General features: G+C 38.3%; 1 protein-coding gene across 10 annotated transcripts in view; it reads left to right on the forward strand.

Moving 5' to 3' along the window:
- The window catches only part of EDA (ectodysplasin A), a 423,360-nt gene that overhangs the window by 606 nt on the left and 400,869 nt on the right, over positions 1–21,885 (forward strand). Inside the window, exons 2-3 of one of the 10 annotated variants that reach the window (XR_001755660.2) lie at positions 368–3,787; positions 4,178–19,942. The exons of 8 other annotated variants lie outside the window; for them this stretch is intronic. Coding sequence is in view for 1 of the 2 variants with exons in the window: in XM_017029337.2 (XP_016884826.1) it covers positions 368–373 (6 nt within the window). In the remaining variant the exon portion in view is untranslated. Of the gene's footprint in view, positions 1–367; positions 19,943–21,885 lie in introns of those variants that run through there. One more of the 10 variants, XM_017029337.2, reaches the window with a different exon arrangement.

Here is a 21,885-nt window from a genome sequence, read left to right on the forward strand (position 1 = left end):
AGGGGCGGCGGCGGCCCCCTCCCCTCGCGGGTAGGGCGAGGGCCCTCCGCCACAGGGGCCTGGGAGCACTCAGCAACCTCGAGCCAATTTAGAGGGCAGGACCAGGGAGGGACCAGGCGAGCAAGGGAGAAGTTGCCCAGGGCAGGTTGTCTTCGGTCCCTGGCCCAGCTAATCCAGACTCCCTGGGGACCCCTTGACTTGGAAAGTCTCGCGCGCGCCCGCGGCCCCTGGCTGCGGGCTGCCTCGAGAAAAGTTGGCGACGCTCCCGTCGAGGAGGTGCCTGCGCTGCCCCCCGGCCGACTAACGGCTTGGCCCTTCTGCTCGTGATGAGGTTCTCTGCCCGCGGTGCTTGTTTTTTCGTGTCTAGAGCTGATGCCAGAACCAGCAGGCTCCCCTTTGGAGTTGGAGCTGTAAACAGCTGTAATAACTGTTCCACGCCCGCCCGTTGAAACAACTTTTAACCGCATTTTCAGCGCGGGTCCTTGTGCGCTGACCAGAACGTGGGCTTGTTCACACTTACCTGCAATTTGAGACTGATTGTCCTCGGCGTTCTAGTGAGGATCAGCGCCCCTGAGGAATTCTGGTAGAAATATGCCGTCTTGCTAGACAACTTCTGAACAGCAATTTTAAAAATCTATGGAAATAAAACTCACCCTTTGCATGCCGGTTCTGATTCTTAAGCGGGGTAGGTGTGCGGTGGGAAGGGTGGGTGGGAAGCGCTTTTACTACTGTTAGCTTGAGAACGGGAATCTGCCAATGGAATAATTACTCAGGACTCGTCCCCCAAGAGCAGTTTTGTTTGTTTTTGCAATCTTTATGGTGTTTGTGCCCTAATAAGCAAACTATTAGCTTTGGTGTTTGTTTTCTATTCTATTCTTTCTAGCTTTTTATTCAAGTAAATTTCGTTCACTTAACGTAAATACTGTCTTGGTTGCCATATGTGAAACTTAGGAGAAGCATCCAAGGATCCTTTCGAGGTGGCTAAAGAATAATAATAAAATTGTACCTCTTAGGGAAGAGAGCAAGTTGTACAAATAAGTTCCTTGAGGTGAGGGACCCAAGCCTTCTATATTTACTGCCACATCCAGAGTCATTGTCACAACTCTGTAAACATTATTTGTGCCACTTTGACCTCCCATCTAAAGTGGTACGCTTGATAGAGACATCATATTCATGATAATAGTGTAATGTTAGGACTGATACTTAAAAAAAAAAAAAAAGATGTGCATTGTAAAGTTGCCCTGAGCCTTAAAATGTCTTACTAGCACACTCCAATTTATATAACAGCTTATCAAAGAAGAGAATCAGCAGACATGCTTCTCATACTTGAAACTTTAAACATTGTAGCTAAACGATAATTAACTAGGATTCTGACTCCTTTATTTATCTACTGCCACTCCCCCCACACCCCAATGCCCAGCAGAAGTATTTAGCAGCTGAACATTGATATTCTGTGAAAAGATGAAAGAATTAAACTTCTTTAATCAAATGTTGGCCAATACTTTTTGGCATTCAGGATGGACAGAGCCATTTTTATAGACTGAGGATTAGCAGAACAGCTGTACTGTAAGGTTTCTGTGATGGCATGAAACTCTTACAGGTGTATAATGGCATTTAGTTACCTACCCTTTGTGTGGCACTAAAATAGTTCTGTCTAGATTTAAACACAGCTTCCTATCTTCTGTCTTTTATTCTTTCTGTTTTAATATTTTTGAGCAATAGAAGCAAGGATACTAGCTCTTTACATTTGTTGACATCAATTGGAATCAGTTTCCTAGAGTTATGAAGGGCTTATATGAGTCCATTTCGTTTGATTCCCTTGGGAAACATAGGCCCTAAAGGGAAAGTGACTTGCCCAAGGTCACATAACTAGAGTCAAAACTGGGATGATAGTTGCTCTAACTCCTAGTTGGGTGCCCATTCCCCCAACTACCTCCTGGGACCTTTTGCGAGGGAGCAAGATGGAGCTCCACATTAGAACTTTTGCAAAGTAGAGGGCTCAGCTCTGCATCATTTTGTTCTACTCTGCCTGTATTTTGACCACAGTAAGTTTAACCGTGTGTTCCTTATTCTTCCTGAACTTCACTTTCAGATTTGGAGTATACTTTGAAGGAATTTTAGCCCAAATTCAACTTGTTTATTTTAAGTTGTTCAACTTAAGTTTATCTTATCTTGTATATTAGTTTTAGTATACAAAAATAACTTTTTAAAAAAGTTGATTGGGTATTAAATTAATACTGCTACAAGCTTGGTTAAAATTTCTAGTGCCCTGGTGCACCCTCTGCTGGCTTTACAGTGACATTTAATTTTCAGTATCTGCTGACACTCAGAATTCTACATTGTGCTGACAGATTCTGATTCAGTAAATAAGGAAGTAAACAGCCTTGTGGGATTTGGCCACGTAGGTCATATTTTTATATTTTAGTTTTTAAACACAAACAACTGCTGTTACAGCAAATCTTGGATGGAGAGGAAGAAAGATAAAAATATACACCCTTCAACGGGCAGTACATTCAGGTTTCTTACCAGTTTATCTGTAAGGAGTGAAGGCAAGCTGATGAGAGTAAACTGCAGGAAGCTCTCATGAGACCAAGTGGGCAGAACAGTCAGAGACACTTCATGCAGGTAGGCAAAAGTAAACCTATCCATACTTATGAGATGATGGGCTCTGGGCTCTCAGTTATGACTCAAGAAAGGGACCTGGAAATCACTGTAGATGTATGTATATCATCTGTCAATTTAAAAACTTTTTAAGCAGGGCACACAAGGAAGTTAGGGCAGGTAGGATACAGAGCAGAGAGATCAGCACAGTTCTCCATGTGAAATGTTAGAAAAGTCTCCCTGGTGGGGACACACTTGCTGATGATGAAGTGAGAGAGTCACATCAGACCTTCCGTAATCAATCATCTCCTTCAGCTGGAGCAACCAAGTAGCTGAGATTTGTCTGGATAGTTGGTGGAGATTATCTCAAGAGCAAGGGATATCTCATTTGTGTCTGAATTAGGACAATATACAGTAATATGATCGTCAGAGTAAAAAACTAAAAATCACTGTTGATCATTCTGTGGAGATGTTGCGCCGGTTGTGATTGTGGTCCTCAAAGGCCAAGAATGTAGTGGGTATCATCAGGAAGGGTGTCAAAAACAACAAAACAAACCACTTACAAAACACTTATTTTTTCCATGTACAAGATCAAAAGCAGATTGGCTTCTACAATCAGACAGGAAATTCTGGTGGCTGCTCCTCAAGAAAAGCCTAACAGCTGATAAAAGTCCTCAAAAACCCCATTAAATTGATCAAAAGGATGAAGGGATTTTCTAGTTGGTTTTTCAGTCTGGATAGAAAGAGGTTGAAGGAGGAATATGATCAAAGTCTACCAAACCATGAGCGAGATGAATATGATTAATATATTGGTGTAACGTAACAATCCAGTTCAATAAATAGAAAGCCTGCTGTGCCAGACACAATGTTAAGTATTAGACACCTTTTAATGTTTGAAAAATTATTTTCAAGAGGAGGCAAATAAAGGTAGTATCTTATTCAACTCATTGTCTCAAGTAATAGTCAAAATTATGGGTAGATCAATACAGATTTACTTAGAACTGTTAGGGCTATTTGGAGTATGTTCCTAATTATTTGAAGTGATGTCATAGATGTCAACCTTAAAGTTCTACAAAACATTGCTTGACATAACTAGATAGACCATTAGTGTATCCAGAGTTGACATTACCTGTGTTAAGGCTCTTCGATCAAGAACATAACTAGGAATCATTCGAGGTGATTCAAGGTGAGCACAATGAATAAATCCAAGGATTTTTTTTTTTAGGGAGGTGGGATCTAGATAAAATACCTTTACTGTGGGTTTGAATACAGAACTTTTGATCAACTTGCTTCATTATTCCCATCGCATTTTCTCTCTCACTAACTCTGCTGCAACCCACCCATCATATCCTGTCTTAGAATCATTCTTTAGTTGTTATTGCTGTTGTTTTCAAATACATTTTATGTCTTTACATTAGAGCTCCTTAGAAATCTGCCTTCATTTTTGTCTTTCTCCATAATGCCTGACACAGTGCTAGTTACAGTTACTGTACTCAAATACTTGTTGAGTTGAATATTATTTTGGGACTTTGGAGGTGTTTATGTGAAACAAAGACATTTTCTCTTTCTATAACAGGCCTGTTTTCCTCAGGTCTTGCTAAGCCTGTGACCTGTCAGCTATGCTTAGGTGAGTAAATAGTTCCACTGGAAATGTTTCACTGATTTCTAGAATAATTAGAAAGTGAAATGGAGAAGAGCCTTAACCACGTGGTCAGTCTCCCAGTTTCACACCTTCTCTCTAAAATGGTGCAAAAAGCTTCCTGTAATATATTGTTTGATGTTTTGTTTTATTTGCTTTTAGGTCTCATGTCTTTCTTTCTATCTTAGATCTTGTGAAAAAATAATCTGTAATTTATCTGTAACTACCTTATAGAGAAGATCTCTTTAAAGTAAAGAACCTCTGAAGCCATTTAATTCCCAAGAACATTACCAAGAGAAACCACCTTGCCTGTAGAGGACCATTTTATCTAACTCCTCTGTAAATACTCAGGACTTAGCTTTTCATTTCATTTCTTTCTTTTATTAAAAATCTTTTCTATTGAAGTATAACTCATACACAGAAAAGTATATAAATCATATTTGTACAATTTGATGAATCATTACAAAGTGAATATACTCACGTCACCAGCACCCAGGTCAAGAAATAGAACATTATTATATGCCACAACTCCTCCTTACACCCTATTGTTATCACTATATCCTCCTCACTCTCTCAAGTTCTGACATCATAGATTAGTTTTTTTATCTTTCTCCATAGTGCCTGACATAGTGCTAGTTGGATTAGTTTATTAGTTTTGTTCATTTTGAACTTTATATAAATGAAATCAAACAGTGTGTATTCTTTTGGATCTGGTGTTTTTTGCTCAATACTGTTTTCGTGACATCCATTCAGGTTGTTGCTTGTGGCTGTAGTTTTTTATTTGTATTTTTTGTGTGTGTGAGACAGAGTCTTGCTCTGTCACCCAGGTTGGAGTGCAGTGGCATGATCACAGCTCACTGCAGCCATAACCTCCCAGGAACAAGCGATCTTCCAACCTCAGCTTTTTGAGTAGCTGGGACCACAGGCACATGCCACCATGCCTCATTTTTAATTTTTTATAGGCTCATTTTTAATTTTTTTATAGAGACAGGATCTCTCTATGTTGCCCAGACTGGTCTTGAACTCCTGGCCTGAAGCAATACTCCCACCTCAGTGTACCAAAGTGATGGGATTACAGATGTGAACCACCATGCCCAGCCATTTATTTGTATTTTTGTATATTATTTCGTTGCTCGAATATACCACAGTCTATTTACTCTATTTTTAATGAATTTGTGGATTGTTTCCAGTCTGGGGCTATTACGGATGCTGATGTTGTGAATATTATTATACATGTCTTTTGGTTACATATGCTTGAATTTCTATTGCTTGTATAGATCAGAGTTGCTGGGTCATGGAGGATGCATATTTTTGACATTATTGATAATGACAGTTTTTCTAAGTCATTGTATCAATTTACATGCTCACCAGCAATGTATGAGAATTTCAGCTGTTTCACATTCTTACTAACACTTGGTATTGCCAGTCTTTTTAGCCATAGCTGTTCTGGTGGGTGGCTTTGTAGTAATATCCGTTGATTTTAATTGGCATTTCTCAGAAGACTGATGAGGTTGTGCTCTTTTTCATGTTTATTATGCATTTGCATATCTTCTGTGAAATGCCTATACAAGTTTTTTGCCCATTTTTCTATTAGTCTGTCTTTTTCTTATAGATTTGTAGGAATTCTTTATATACTCTGAATATGAACTATTTTTGTATTTTTTATGTTGTAAGCCATTCCCAAATCTGTGATTTACCTTTCTTTATGGTATCCTTTGATGAACAGAAGTTTTTAATTTTAATGTGTTTAATTTTTTAGTATTTTCCTTTATGGATAGTGTTTTCTGTGTCCCATTTAAGAAATATTTTCTTACCTTGAAATTGTAGATATTCTCCCATATTATCTTCTAGAAGCTTTATGTTTTTGACATTTACATTTAGGTCTATACTCCACTTGAAATCGATTTTTGTGTATGCTAAGATACAGAAACTAAGCTTCATTTTTTAAAATATAGATATCCAACTGATCCAGTACCATTAATTATAAGGACTGTCTTTCCCCCAGTCCTCTATAGCATCACCTTTGTCATAAATCAGGTGCCTGTATATATGCAAGATTGTTTCTGAACTGTTTATTCTATTCTGTTGGTCTCTTTGTCATTACATCACTACCACAATCTTAATTACTGGACTTTATTATTACCTGGTAAAGCAACTCCTTTCACCTTGTTCCTCTTATTTAAAAGTATCTTGGATATTCTTGGCCCTTTGCATTTAGAATCAGCTTGTCATGTTCCACAAAAAAGAAACGTGCTGAGATTTTTATTGGGATTGCATTGCATCTAAAAATCAATTTAGAGGGAACTCACCATTTTATGGTATTCAGTTTTCCAATCCATGAACATGCCCAGCAGATTTGGTGTTTGGTGAGTGCCTTCTTCTTGATCCATAGAATGACACACTCTTGCTGTATCCTCACGTGGTGGAAGGGATAAATGCACTTCCTTGGACCTATTTTATAAGGACATTAATCTCATTTACAAGGGCTCTGCCCTCATTATTTAATTGCCCCCTAAAAGCCTCATCAAATACCATCACATTGGTGATGATATTTCAACATATGAATTTTGGGGGGAACACAAACATTCAGACCATAGCAAACCTATTTTAGACATTTTCTCAGCATCCTTTATGTCTGTTACATACTTTTCTCTGTATTCTATCCTTCTTTTTCTCTCTATACTTCATTCTAGGTATTTTCTTTTTTTTCTTTTTTTTTTTTTGAGACAGTTGCATCTACATACTTTATTTTCAAAAAATCTTCACAGGAACAATGCAAGGTAGATATTGCCGTGTCTCTATTTTTACATGTGGAGAAGCAGACCCAGAGGGGTTAAATAACTGTCTGCAATCATATAGCTATTTCTGGAACTGTGTTTTAAATAGGAATTTTATAAACCATATATAGAACTTGTATCAACTGGACCATTTAAAATGTGCATGGAGAAGTTTCTATTTAAAGGACTCCCATGAAAGGTAGATTAATTCAATAAGTAGTATTGGGATTTACTGACTTGCCATTTTGGGGGTTTAAAAAAAAAGACAAGTAAAACTGGATCCTTATCTCACCTCTTATACCAAAATAAATTCCAGATGGAACAAAGATTTACATGTAAAACATGAAGTCACAGACATCCTAGAAGAACACATGGATGCATATTTTTAGAATCTTACATTCTGGATATTTTCCTGTGACTTAACTTCCAATTCATTAATTCTGTCTTCAGCTTTGTCTAAACTCCCTTTAAACTCACTCATTGAGTTCTTAATATTATTTGTCATGTTTTTTATTTTTAGAATTTTCATTTGGTTCTTTTTATAAGATAGTGTTTGGTTCTCAGCCAAACTCTGCCAAAATATCTTTTAACATACTGGCCATAATTATTTGAAAATCTTCATTTGATTACTCATTATTTCAATCCTTGAGGGTACGTTTCTATTGTCTATTGTTTGTCTTAATTTTCTATCACTTTACCTTTCTCCTGGTTAGTTTTGATTGAATGGTAGACATTATATATGAAAGATTATAGTAGAGATGGTTTGAGACCTCAGTTATTTTTATCTTTATCTAGAAAGGATTTATACTCACTTCTGGCACGTGGTTAGAGACACTAGCAATCTCACATCTCCTTAATTCAATATGAGACTGAGATAATTTAAAGCTGCCCTTCAATCCAAGTGAAGGTTGACTTACCCTTCCTTTTAGTATTTATGCCTTCTAAGTTGAAACCCAAAGCTTGGGTTTTTTTTTCCCCTTGGGAGTTCTCCCTCTTTGAAGGGTCCTTAATTCCAATTTTTGTTCTTGTAGCTTCATGAGTCTGTCAGAAGCTCCTCTCTCTCTCTCTCTCTCTCTCTCTCTCTCAGCTGACTCTACTATATCAGCCAATGACCTTAGGAGAAAAACAGCCTCTCTCAGTTTTCTTTTTATCCTGCATTTTGGCTTTATAGTATTGCATTACTTTGTTAGATCTCAGATATCTTCAAACATATATCATTTATATCTTGCCCCAATTTTCTTGTGTTTTTTTAAGCAGGAAATTTAGCCCAAATTACTTTTGCTTCCATTACTAGAAGCAGAATCAGCTTATCATTTCTTCAACAAATGTTTATTGATCATCTCCTGTGTATCATGCACTGTACAAAACAATGGAGATGCAGCTGTTGAACAGATTAGAGGGGATTCCTGCCATTGTGGAGCATACAGACAAGTGAACAGGCACATATAATACAATTTCATAAAGCAATGGTAGGGTTAATCATAGGATGATGTAGAGCACTAAGGAGGAGTGCCTGACCATGACTTTTGAAATCAAGGAACATGTTCTTGACAAAGCATCTTCTGAGCTTAAACCTAAAAAGTAAGTAAGAATTATCTAGGATAAGACTGTTTTAGGCAGTAGGAACAGCAAGTGCAAAGGCCTGGAGATGAAAGAGAACATGGTACATCCAGGAATAAGAAAACCTAGTTTGTATGAAGCTACTATTATCAAGACAGGGTGGTTCTGGCATGAGGACAGGCATATATATCAATGGAACAGGACTGAGAGGTCAAAAATAAACTCTTATATTTATAATCAATTGATTTTTGACAAAAGTACCAAGATGATTAGTTGGGGGGAAAAGATACCCTGTTCAATAAATGATGTTGGGAAAATTGGATATCCACATGCAAAAAAGATGAACTTAGATACTCACTAGAGACCATACCCCAAAAATGAACTCAAAATGGATCATAGGCTTAAATGTAAGTACCAAAACAATAAAATGTTTAGAAGAAAACATAGAAAATCCTTAAGATCTTGCAGAGCAAAGATTTATTAGATATGACACCAAACACATAGTCTAAAAAAGAAATGAACCGTTTTGGAAAGAAACTTTTTTTTTTTTTCAAAAGAAAACCTTGAAAAATGAAAAGAAATGCAACAGACTAGGAGAAAATCTTTGGAAAACATATATCTGGTAAATAACTTATATTCAAAGGAATTTACAAAGGATTCTTGGAATGTAATAATAAGACAAACCAAACAAAAAAATGAGCAAAAGATATGAACAGATATTATACCACAAATGAAGATACACAAATGGCTAAATAAATACATGAAAACATGTTCGACATCATTATCCATTACAGAAATTTAAATTAAAACCACAGTGAGATACCATTTCACACCCACTAGACTGGCTATAATGAAAAAGACAATAAGAAGTGGAGATGTGGAGAAATGGAAACTCTCATACATTGCTAGTGGAAATGTAAAATGATTCAGCTGTTTTGTAAAACAGTTTGTCAGTTCCTCAATAAGTTAACATAGAATTACAATATGACCCAGCATTTCCACTCCTAGGCATATACCTAAGATAATTGAAAACGTATGTTCACACAAAAGCCTCTACATTGAATGTTCATAGCAGCATTATTCATAATAGTCAAAAAGTAAAACAGCTCCAATGTCTGATGTGGTATAATGTGATATAATATTCTATACAATGCAATATTTTTCAGCCATTAAAAGGAATGAATTATGAATAATGCTACAACATGGCTGAGCCTCAAATATATTATGCTAAGTGAAGGAAGTTAGTCACAAAAAAACCACATTGTATGATTCCATTTATATGAAATGTCCAGAATAGGCAAATATATAGAGACAAAAATTAGATTACTGGATGCCTGGGGCAGGGGGTAGGAATTAGGATTAACTGAATATGGGCATAAGGGCACTTATTGGGGATGAAAATATTCTAAAACTGATTTACCACAGCCAGGGTTATAGCAGTGGAACGAAATAAAGGAAATGATGCAAGAGATATCATGAAGTTACACAATTCTGTAAAGTTACTAGAAATTATTGAATTGTACACTTAAAATGGATGAATTCTACAGTATGTGAATTATATCTATATAAAGTAGTTTTTTTTAAGTGTCTGGCACATAGAAGATGGTGAATAAATGTGTAAGGGGCGTTGGTTGTTTCTGAATGATACCTATCTTTAGAGGAAGAGAATCTTCAAGGCTATTCGATTTACTTCAGAGATTTCTCCCTCTAACAGATGTGTCCAGGGTCCCAGTGCAGAATCAATTGAATTAGAAGCTTCAAGGATGGGAGTCTAGTCGTATATAATTTGACAAAGCCCTATGGGTGATTTTGCCAAGCACTGCAAATTGAGACTCTGTGATTTATGGAATTGTGAATGGCTTAGTATGGTCAGAACTCAGGGTGCATGTGGGACCCAATAGGTACTTGCACTAGAGTGGGCAGTAATCAAGAATCTTGGCCCAGAATCATCTCTGTCTTCCTCGCTTTCCCTTTTTTCCTCTCTACATCCCTCTCCCTTTCTGCCTCCCTGCCTCTCTCTCTGCTTCTTACTCTTATTCTCTCTGATAGAAATAGCTAGCTAGCTATTCCCAGATCCTACTTAGAATTTTTTTCAGAATTGTAGGGTTAAAATATATCATACAGATCATCCGTGGCAGTGGTTCTTAACCAGGGATGCATATTAGTCTTACCTGGAGAACTTTTTCAAGATACACAGGTCCCTGGCCACACCCAGACATACATCATTAGAATCTTTAGAGTGAGACCATGGGCATATATAGTTTATAAAAAGGTTTTTCAGGTGATGCTGATGCTCATCTCCATTTGAGAACGTACTGCTCTAAAGGAAGAAATAAAAGCATAAAGAAGATAAGATTTGGTTCCCCATGCCTAACTTCAGCTTCCCTGTTACAGATTATTAGGTCTGTATCACCTGTGTTACTGAAGCTACTTTTGAAGACCACTAGACCTGAGCTTGGGTGGTAGTGAATGCTTAATGAACACCACTGTGGAATACCATTTGGAAAATCAATTCATAAACTCTGGGGAGAGAGGGATTAGATTTCAGTTGCCATTTCCTCAGCCAGATGATAGTGCTGTGTGCTTGGAATAGCCAAGAAAGGAGGGTGGTTTCCTGTCTCTTGTGGCTTCCTGGTGACTTCTCTTGGTGCTAGCTGCTGAAACCACTTTAAAATAATAGGCTGTTGAGTAATTTTCTCCATGTATATCCACCTGTCAGTGGGCCTGCACTTCAGAGATGAAGAGTAGTTTTTATTGGCGTGATGGCATATAGCAGGGATTGAAACCAAACAGCCGCAATGAAATTGATTTTCAAAAAGAAATTACTTCTGAATTTTATTCTGTGGTTTGTGGATTGTTATTCTTACTTCATCCTGCCACACCAGTGGCCTACAAGGACAATGAAAGCTTGGACATAAGTAAGAGTTTTGGATCAATCCACAAGGCTCTGTACCTAGAAAAATTGCATGCTGCGAAAGCACTTTTGCTATGTAGTCTAAATGTTGGGGAAACTCTGAGAGTTTCTTCTGTAAGGATGGACCTTAACACCTGCCACAACTAGTCAGACTGAGGGAAAGAAGGGCAAAGAGTAGCTTTCAGGAGTTCTTTCGACTCAACCCCCACTCCATTGAGTCCCTATTTGGTATGAGATAATGCTAGTAGGGGGATTGTATCCTCAAGACAGATTCAGCTAACAGAACCAATGAAGGAGCACAAACCTACTTCATCCTTAATGACATTAGACAAATCCTTTGGTGCAGCTTGTTTCTGTTTGGATTCCCAGCTGACATCTCAAATTTAGTAAGCTAAACTGAACTTATCTTCATTCTTCCCCTTCCCACCACACACACCAAATTTTATAAAAGTAAACCCTGGTTTCATGCTCTCAATCACTTATGCATAAAACTTGGAAGGCCTTATATTTTTACTTCTCCCTTGTCCTTGCTACCTATATATAGCAATCAATTGTTAAGTTGACTCCTACTTTGTGATGTTGATTTATATTGTTCATGATGTCTCTTGCATGACTCCCTTTCTTTCTAGTCTCACTGCTATCACTCTGGCTGTATTTGGCTTAGATGATCTTCAAGGTGCCTCCCAACAATGAAAATCTGTGACTCTTTCTCAGCTCCTTATTACCTCACTCCTACAGTGGTTGTGTAGCTGAGAGTTGCTTTGTTCTCTGTTCCATATATATACCTCAGCTAGATTATTTTTCTTCCAGAGTTATTTTGTTATGTCACTTCCTCCTCAGAAACCTTGACATCTCCCTACTGCCCGTAGAATAAAGTTCAGACTTCTTAAACTGGCATTCTAAGCCCCTTTGCAATTGGGTTTGAACTACTCTGTCACTCTTCTTTTTATTCTCTGTTTGAATCTTGTTTTATCCAGACTGGTCCACTGACAGGCCGCGTTCTGGCCTTTGTTTGTTTACCTGTTCCCCCGAAGAAGAATGTTCTTTCCTCCAACCTGTCTCTTGGACCCCTCCAGGTCCTTCAAAGCTCAACTTAAACCTTAACTCTTGTGTGCATTCTTCCTTGCCCATCTATCCATCCCAGCACCCTAAATTCCTCATTCAGCACTGTGCTGTGTTGTAGGTGTTCTTGTTTCCTTAACTTGATGTGAAGGTTTTTGAAGACAGAGACTGAGTGTTACATTCCTTTATAGCTCTTATACCTACAACGCTAACTGTACTCTTTTAATTAAATACCAAAGTGAATCTTAAGGTATTGAAACATTCCCCCTAATATCGGACTCTAAAATATAGTTGTACACATTGATTGTGAGGATTATCATGCTACCTTAAGGATCTGGTGATTATTAATGGAGTCTGTCAGTAGGGCTTCTTTGCTTTTAGAGCCCTGCTTAAGGTCAAGCACCCTCACAGAAAGTTTCTTAGACTCTAGAGCTTCCTTCCTCAGTTCCTTTCCCTCCTTCAGATCTTTAAAAGCCTTCCACATAACAAGTATTCATATTCCACTTTGACCTGCTGTATACCTCTTGATTTCCTCAATACAGCAAGTCCTTACCTTCAAAATGCTTTCGGAATTCATTTCTCCCTGAATACTGAAGGTACCTCAACTTCTTGGCTTTCAGATTCTAACTCACGTGCCAGGTCACGAGAGGCTCCATACCCAAGTTTCTTTTCAAGTCACAAACCCCATACACCCCCATCGTATATCAAAGTTCCCTAACCCTCTTGTTTGTATTTTTAACAGTAACTCATTTAAACGTGTAAATGTGGGAAAGCCCTTAAGGTCAGGACTCTCTCTGTTTGTCTTGTATAGTGCAAAATATGCCGGTGTTCCAAATAATAAAGGTTTAGGGAAAAGCCCAGGTTGTGGTTATGTACGTGTCTGTGTTTGTCTGTGTGAGGGAGTCAAGGAAGGGGAGGGGGAGAAAATGGAGGGACTGACTTGTGTTTCTTTGTGTTTGCGTATAAGTATTAAATGCTAGAATTCTAGCATTTAATTTCTAGGAGAAATGTGATTCATAGTTCAGGACATAAGACCAAGTAGTACTACTGTTTCATAAACTACACTCTTACATTTCCAGTTAACCCATTTTCTTCTCAGCCCCTGACTTTACCTATTCATTCAGAAAGTCTGGCTCCCACCTGCTAAACCAGAGTGCCTCATGCTTATTTTGGTCTGTTTTGGATATCTTTCTTATCCTGGAGGTTGTAGAAAGAGTACTGGAATAAGTTCTGGCTCTTAACCAACTAGCATATTTCAGTGTCCTTATTTGTAAAATGGGAAAGACAGTACCTTCCCTGTCTCCTTCGCACTGTCTTTTTGAGGATCAAACACAAATATGTGTGAAAAATATAAAGTCTTGTGGTTATTTCTTAGAGGACTATTTGATAAATCTGTCTCTTTGTCTCGTTAATTATGTAAAACTTTTTTTCTAATTACTACCTTATATTTTCCATATAGTTGCCCTGTCTGTTGACATAAATTCACAGGGGTTGGTAATGGTACTGCATTTTTTCAAATCGTGCTTTTATGTTATACTCCCTTTTTGCATTTACAAATGCTTTCTTTCAGCCTGGCCCTCTGACAATTTATTTCCACAAGTTGTAGAGGGATAACTGGATTGGAAATTGGGATACAGTAGTACTGGTCCCAGGTCTGCGTTTAGTTATTCTCTTCTAGTTAAGTTGGTTCACCTTAGGTAGGTCATTTCATCTTTCTGGCTCTCTGTTTACTTATCTGCAAAATGTTGGAGATTGAAGTTGGTGATCTATAAGTTCTCTTCAAACACTAACAATTTATCATTGCAGCTAAATAGAATTCCTGATGCTGGCCAGGCACGGTGGCTCACACCTGTAATCCCAGCATTTTGGAAGACTGAGGTGGGTGGATCACCTGAGGTCAGGAGTTCGAGACCAGCCTGACCAACGTGGTGAAACCCCGTCTCTACTAAAAATACAAAAATCAACTGGGTGTGGTGGCACGCACCTGTAATCCTAGCTACTTGGGAGGCTGAGGCAGGAGAATCAGCTTGAGCCCAAGAGGTGGAGGTTGCAGTGAGCCAAGATCGCACCACTGCACTCCAGCCTGGGTGACAGAGCGAGACTCCGTGTCAAAAAAAAAAAAAAAAAAGAATTCCTGATGCTTTTTTTTCAGTTTTTCCTGCTCCACACCCCGCTCCTTGAGAATCACTGGCCTAATGAATATAGTCCAGATGCCAAATTCAAGACCTACATCAGTGTTGGCTTGCCAGTATTATGTACTGTTTCCAACAAGAACCCCCGGTTATATATAGATTGGTTTTCTTACTGCACATTCCTACCTTCATTGCCACTGTGTCATTCCCCCTGTTAAAATCTTTTTTTTTTCTTTTTTTTTTTGTGGTAGAATACTCCTTTGTCTCTAAGGACAAGCTTAAATGTTATACTTTCCTGTGAAGCCTTTCCTAATAGCTTAAACCTTAGTAATATTTTTTCTATTTCATCTGAACCACATCTGCATTTATGATATGCCAGACACTATACCTGGCATTGTAGGAGACAGAAAGATAAAATAAGTTCCTCACATTAGAGAAGGCTGAAATTGGGAATTAGCATTCTGGGCAGTGGTTAGCAGCATCAGCAAAGACTTGGAAATAGTAGAGTGGAGTAGAGTAGAGGGTGAGTTTGGATAAAGGCTTAGAGCCCATGGACCTTACTTATTTGGCCTATAACTATATATCCTCTTATGACAGTTCTTGTGATAGTATGCTACCTTATAATATGAAATTGTGGTTTATTTGTCATTTATTGGCTACCTAGCTTTCATTTCCTTTTCCTAATACCATTGCAGTTTCTTTTTGGAGTAGTCCCTTTCCATTATTGGATGGTGTAATAGGAAATCTAGGTGCCTGTATCCCACAAGAGAAGCCAAAGGGGTCAAGTCCTTCTACTTACTACCCCAGTAAAATCAAAGAGCAGTAGCCATGTGATGTATGGTCAACCAACCTACATTCTCTTGTGGGGCTGGCTTGACTTTTTGTCTTACAGTCTATATCCTTTGGCCCATTGCTCCAATCACCCTCTTGCAATTACCTCAAGTCTCTTGACTCTCTGTCCCCAGGTCCCCCTGTCTTAACAAAACCTCAGTCTAGGATTAGCCCTACCATTTGGCTTTATCAGTTCTACATGAAAGACTGTTGAATAGGACTGCAGAGAATAACCAATTACAGCCACTACAAATTCAGGCCCCAACCTCTGCTGGATACTTAGTTACCTAGCAATCTTTCTTTCTGTGGACTGAATTAGCTTGATCTTCTGAACTCAGCAGCAATTCTGTACTCTCACTTTGGTCCTCAGACCTCCTGCTCTAAGACATACTTCACTTTCAGCTGTTAAAACCCAATTCCTACTTCACTGAAAACAATCAAGACTATCTGTGACATCATCTGCAAATCCATTCCCCTCACTAACTATAATACCACCTATGGATTTTACTCCATTTGCCCCCACTCTTGTGCTCCTGTCTCCATAGAGGAAATGTGTTCCTTTGGTTCAAGACCAGTCCTTTTATCTGAGCTTTGGATCTTCTCCCCGCTTACTATCTCATGGTCCTTTCTCTTAGTCATTTTCTTCCTATCCTGTATCTTGGATCTCTCTCAAACTTCTTTTTTTCCTCTTAGCATGTAGTCATGCTCACATCTCATCTTTGGGGGGGACCTTTTTTGACCCAAATCTTCCTAAAACTACCCTTTCCTACTTCTGTAAATAGTTAAGCTTCTGAAAAGAGTGGAATAAACTTGCTGTCTTTACGTTTTAACCACTCATTGATACCTAATCCTCCTGTGGTTCAGCTTCTGTGTCCTCCTCCCAGGAGTTTGTGCTTGCTCACCAGTGACCTTCATATTGTAAAATTTAACGGGACACATTTATTCTAATCATATTTCACTTATCTGTCAAGTCCTTTATTTTATTATTTAAAATTTTTGATAATAAGCAGAGAAAGCCACTTGACATTATGAATTTACTGGGGATAGTTATTTCAATGATTAATGTTCCTCAGTGAATATTTATTATGAAGTTTCAATTTTGTTTTAGAATTTTGTAATTGAGATATAATTTACATAACTTAAAATTCATCCTTTTAAAGTGTACAAAACACTAGTTTTTAGTATATTCACAGAGTTGTGCAACTGTGACCATTGTCTAATCCAAGAACATTTTCATTGCCCCCCAAAGAAACTGTATCCATTAGCAGTCATTCCCCAATTCCTCCTTTCCCCCATCCTCTATCAACCACTAATCTACTTTCTGCCGCTATGGATTTACCTATGCTGGACATGTCATATAAATGGAATCATGTAATATGTGGCTTTATGTGTCTGGCCTTCTTCACTTAGCATAATATTTTCAAAATTCATCCATGCTGGAACATGTATCCGTCCTTTTTCCCTTTTACAGGTGAATAAAATTCCATTGTATGGATATACCACCTTTTATTTATCTATTTTGTCTATTGATGAACATTTGAGTTGTTTCCACCTTGGGGTATTATGAATAATGCTGCTATGAACATGGAGGTGTACAGGTTTTTGTTTAAACACCTGTTTTCCATTCATTTGGGGTATATACCTAGTGGTGGAATTGCTGGGTCCTATGTTAATTCTATGTTTAACTTATTGAGGAACCACCAAGCTGTTTTTCACAATTGTTGAACCATATTACATTGTCACCAGCAGTGTATAAGGGTTCCAGTTTCTCCACATCCCTGCCAACGCTTGTTGTGATCTTTTTTATTATAGCCATCTTACTGAGCATAAGGTGATATCTAATTGTTTTGATTTGCATTTCCCTAAAGACTAATGATATTGAGCATTTTTTCATATACATATTGGCCGTTTGTATATCTTTGAAGAAATGTCTATCCAAATCCTTTGTCCATTTCTAAATTGCATTATATGCCTTTTAATTTTTGAATTGCAAGAGTTCTTAATGTATTCTGCATACTAAACCCTTATTAGAGATAAAATTTGCAAATATTTTCTCCCATTCTATGTGTTGTAGTTCTTTATTTTTATTTTATCCTGAGGCAGGGTCTCACTCTGTTGCCCAGGCGGGAGTGCGGTGGCATGATCTCGGCTCACTGCGACCTCCATCTCCTGGGCTAAAGTGATCCTTCCGCATCAGCCCCCTAAGTAGCTGACATTACAGGCTTGCACCACCATGCCCGGATAATTTTTTTATTATTTTTTTTAATAGAGATGGAGTTTCCCCATGTTGGCCAGGCTGGTCACGAACTCCTGACCTCAAGTGATTCGCCCACCTCGGCCTCCCAGAGTGCTGGGATTACAGACATGAGCTACCATGCCCGGCCTCCTTATTTTTTGAACCCTCTCCTCTTTTGGTTTCCATGGCAATAGGCTTTCTTATTTTTTTTTCCTACTTCTCTGACTATTCCTTCCCAAGTTCTTTTAGAAGGTTCTTTCCTACGTATCTCTTAAATGTTGTTACAGTCATGTGCCACATAATGATGTTTCTGTCAATGATGAAGCACATGTACAATGAGGGTGGTCCCGTAAGATTATAATGGAGGTGAACAATTTTTATTGTCTAGTGACATCTCATAGCTGTTGTAACATTGTAGTACAATGCATTACCTTTTCTATGTTTGCATATGTTTAGATATACAAATATTTACTATTGTGTTACAATTATCTATGACTTTATGAATATTATGTACAGTGTTCAGTATAGTAACATGTTACACAGGTTTGTAGCCTAGGAGCAATAGGCTATACCTGTGTAGTAGGCTATACCATCCAGATTTGTGTAAATATACTCTATGATGTTCACACAATGACAAAATAACCAAATGACATATTTCTCAGAATGTATCCCTGCTGTTAAGTGACACATGACACACTATTTCCTAGGTCTACACTCTTGCCTTCTTTTCTCTTGTTAGTTTATATATTCTCCCAGTGTGATCTCTTTTAAATTCATGGCTTTTAACTGTCATCTATGTAGGAATGATTTTGAAGCCAAGATCTACAGTATATACAGTTCAGACCTCTTTCCTGTATCCCATATCTGCTGAGCTCCAGTAGTATTTCTATTGGAAATCTTTTGAGTATAGCATAGGCAACTTGAAATCAATTTATCCTAAACTGCATTTATCACCTTCCTACCCCAAACCTGCTTTTCCTCCCCTGTTCATCTCAGTGAGTACTACTACCATTCATTTACTTATCTAAGCCAGAAGTGGAATTGTTCTAGATTACTCCTTCTCACTTCCTCCCCACTCACATTCTAACACCAAATCTTTTTTTTTTTTTTTTTTTTGACACAGAGTTTCACTCTTTCACCCAGGCTGGAGTGCAGTGGCATCATCTCGGCTCACTGCAACCTCTGCCTTCTGGTTTCAAGCGATTCTCCTGCCTCAGCCTCCTGAGTAGCTGGGATTACAGGCGCCCGCCACCATGCCCAGCTAATTTTTGTATTTTTAGTAGAGACGGGGTTTCACCATGTTATCCAGGCTGGACTCGAACTCCTGACCTCGCTAACACCAAATCTTATAGATTCTACCTTCTTAGTGTTTCTTCAGTTTCTCCTCTCATTTCAATACTTACTACCTCAAAGGCCACCACCAACCCAGTTTAGTTTAACTTCTACTTTTTTTTTCAACTTGAGTGTCACCTACTCCAAAAAACTTTCCTTAACTATTCTTTGCCAGGTCTGAAATATATGCTCTTTGGTGTTCCTATAAAATTCTATGCTTACTCCTGTCACTGCACTTAACTATAACACACTGTACTCTACTGATATAGTTCTGATGTTTGTCCCCTCCAAATCTCATGTTAAAACATAATCCCCAATGTTGGAGGTGGGGCCTGGTGGAAGGTGTTTGAGTCATGGGGGCAGATCCCTCATTAATGGCTTGATGTTGTCCTTAAGATAGTGAGTTCTCATGAGGTCTGGTTGTTTAAAAGTGTGTGGCACCTCTTCTCCTCTTCCTTGCTCCCTTTCTCACCATGTGATGTGCCTACTCCCACTCCACCTTCCAGCATGATTTTAAGCTTCCTGAGGCCCTTCCCAGAAGCCAAGCAGATGTAGGTACCATGCTTGTACAGCCAGTAGAACTGTGAGCCAATTAAGCCTCTTTTTATTAGTAAATCACCCAGTCTCACAGTCTCAGGTATTACTTTATAGTAATAGTAATGCAAAAATGGCCTAATACATCTGTGCATGTTATTTAACTTGTCTACCTTATCTAGTAAACTGAAGTCCTTCTCTACTAAACCCCTCTGCTAAACCCCTTTTTGTATGACTATGTCCACAATGCCTAGAACAATGTCACGCACACCATAGGTGCTCAAACTGGTTCATGGTTTTTTTTTTTTTTTTTGATGCTCAAACTTTTGAAGGAAAGAATTAGAATGTGATACTTTATTATAAATCCCTAGGCAGAATACGTTCAAGGAAACCGTTTCTTCTTGCTACTGTAACTTTTTGTTGTCATACTTTCTATTTATTGAGAGGATTATGTTTTTCTTGGGACCTGGACTTATGTGAAGTGAACAAAACAAGATTAATTGTGCTCTGTCTGTCAGACATCCCACCTCACTTTCTCCATCATGCTCCAGTGGGGTGTGGCAAGGTTGTAGCATTGTCACAAGTGGGACAAGGATTGGAAGGGCAGGACAAGCAAAATTTTCAACCGCAATTTTTTTAGCATTGCCCTGGGAAATCACACAATAGTAGAGCTGAAAAGAATTTCAAGAGACTGTCTTATCCAGGCCCTCTGCCTTCAAGCAAGTGAATTTTAAAGCATTCATGACAAATGGTCACTCAGGAGCCCCTAATAATCTCACTAAGAAGAATATTCAATGGAGATGGGAAGAAATACAAAAGTGCAAAAGTTATGTATGCCAAGTAGTCCACAGGTATACTTCAATATAGAGAAGGATATATTAGGAAATGACTCCGGTGCAAATCTATATATAGATCTGTGTTTTCTCATTGCCTTTTATTAACAAATGGGAAGTGTCATTCCCCAGAGAACTGAGCACGTTATCTGGTGTGGAGTCAAAAAAAAGAAGGAATTAGAGATCAAAGAAGGACTCTGAAATTGTTCCTGGAATCTGGGCTAATGGAATGAGCCAGCTGCCTTGGGAAAGACCTGTATCAGATAGATGAGTTATGCTGCTTCAGGCTGTTTAATTAATGAGATTGGGTTCTGTAACTGACCTGTGGATATGAAATCTGCAGACTGAGGACAGAACATACTATTGTGAAGAAATTTTGCATTCTAAGTGGAGGATTGTGGAGTGGTACTCTACATGGCAGTTAGATACATGGACTTCATAGCCTGAAGTCAGGATTTGAATCCCAGCCCTGCCATTTACTACAAGTCTCCCACTAGTCTTCTCCATTTCTTCGTCTATAATAAAGATAATATCGACTCTATAAAGTTGTTATGAGAATCAAAGAGGCAATGGATATGAACCTTATAGCAATAGTGCTTGGCATATAGTAAGTCCTCACTAAATGTTAACTACTACTACTACTACTGCTTAGTAGTAGTAGTGTTCTAATCATTACTGTGCTGTACTAAAGAGACAATGAGCAAGCAAAGGGGGAAATGCTTGGTTAGTCTTAGCAGGAAATTCATGGTTATTTGGTGGTGGTGGTGGAGGCAATGAAAAAAGGTTGCCAATAGTGTAAATGCCTAGAGAGCCTTCTCATGGGCACCTGAATTCTGTCACATTTCCAATATTAGATGTTTGCTGATTATATGAGGGCTACACCTATCATATAGTATTTCACTTAAAAAATGTTTCCATTGGCTTAATACTTTAGGCTCTGCTACTCCTTGCAAAGATCAATACAAATCCCCAAATTACCTGAAAAGCCTATTTTACATTCTCTTTCTTAAGAAATACTGTTGTTGCCCACCCCCATAATATTGACACTTTGCCAATGAATTATACAAAAAACAAGAAAAGAAATAAACAATCACGTTGTACTAGAGGCAGCCAGTATTTCCAAATGATGGGTCCATGACATACAAGCAAGAGAAGTTCATGAATAGTTCAGTACTTAGAATTTGAATGTTGGCTAGATTGGGAAAACTCATGTAACAGGTTTTAACCCCAGTTTGAGGGAGTTGTTTTAAAAAGAACTTCCTAATAATCATTTACAGTCCAGTTAGCCATTTTCCCATTTGTAGTAAGGGTTTTTATTTAGCCTTGCTCATTTAAAATTGGTCTTCAGTAATGCATTTGGGGCTTGATAACTGTGCAAATGATTTTCTCAAATAGCATTGTGATGATGCCAAGAGCTCTGAATGCTTTTTATGG

The sequence above is a fragment of the Homo sapiens genome, chromosome X (genome assembly GCF_000001405.40).
Source record: "Homo sapiens chromosome X, GRCh38.p14 Primary Assembly".
Classification (NCBI taxonomy): Eukaryota; Metazoa; Chordata; class Mammalia; order Primates; family Hominidae; genus Homo; species Homo sapiens.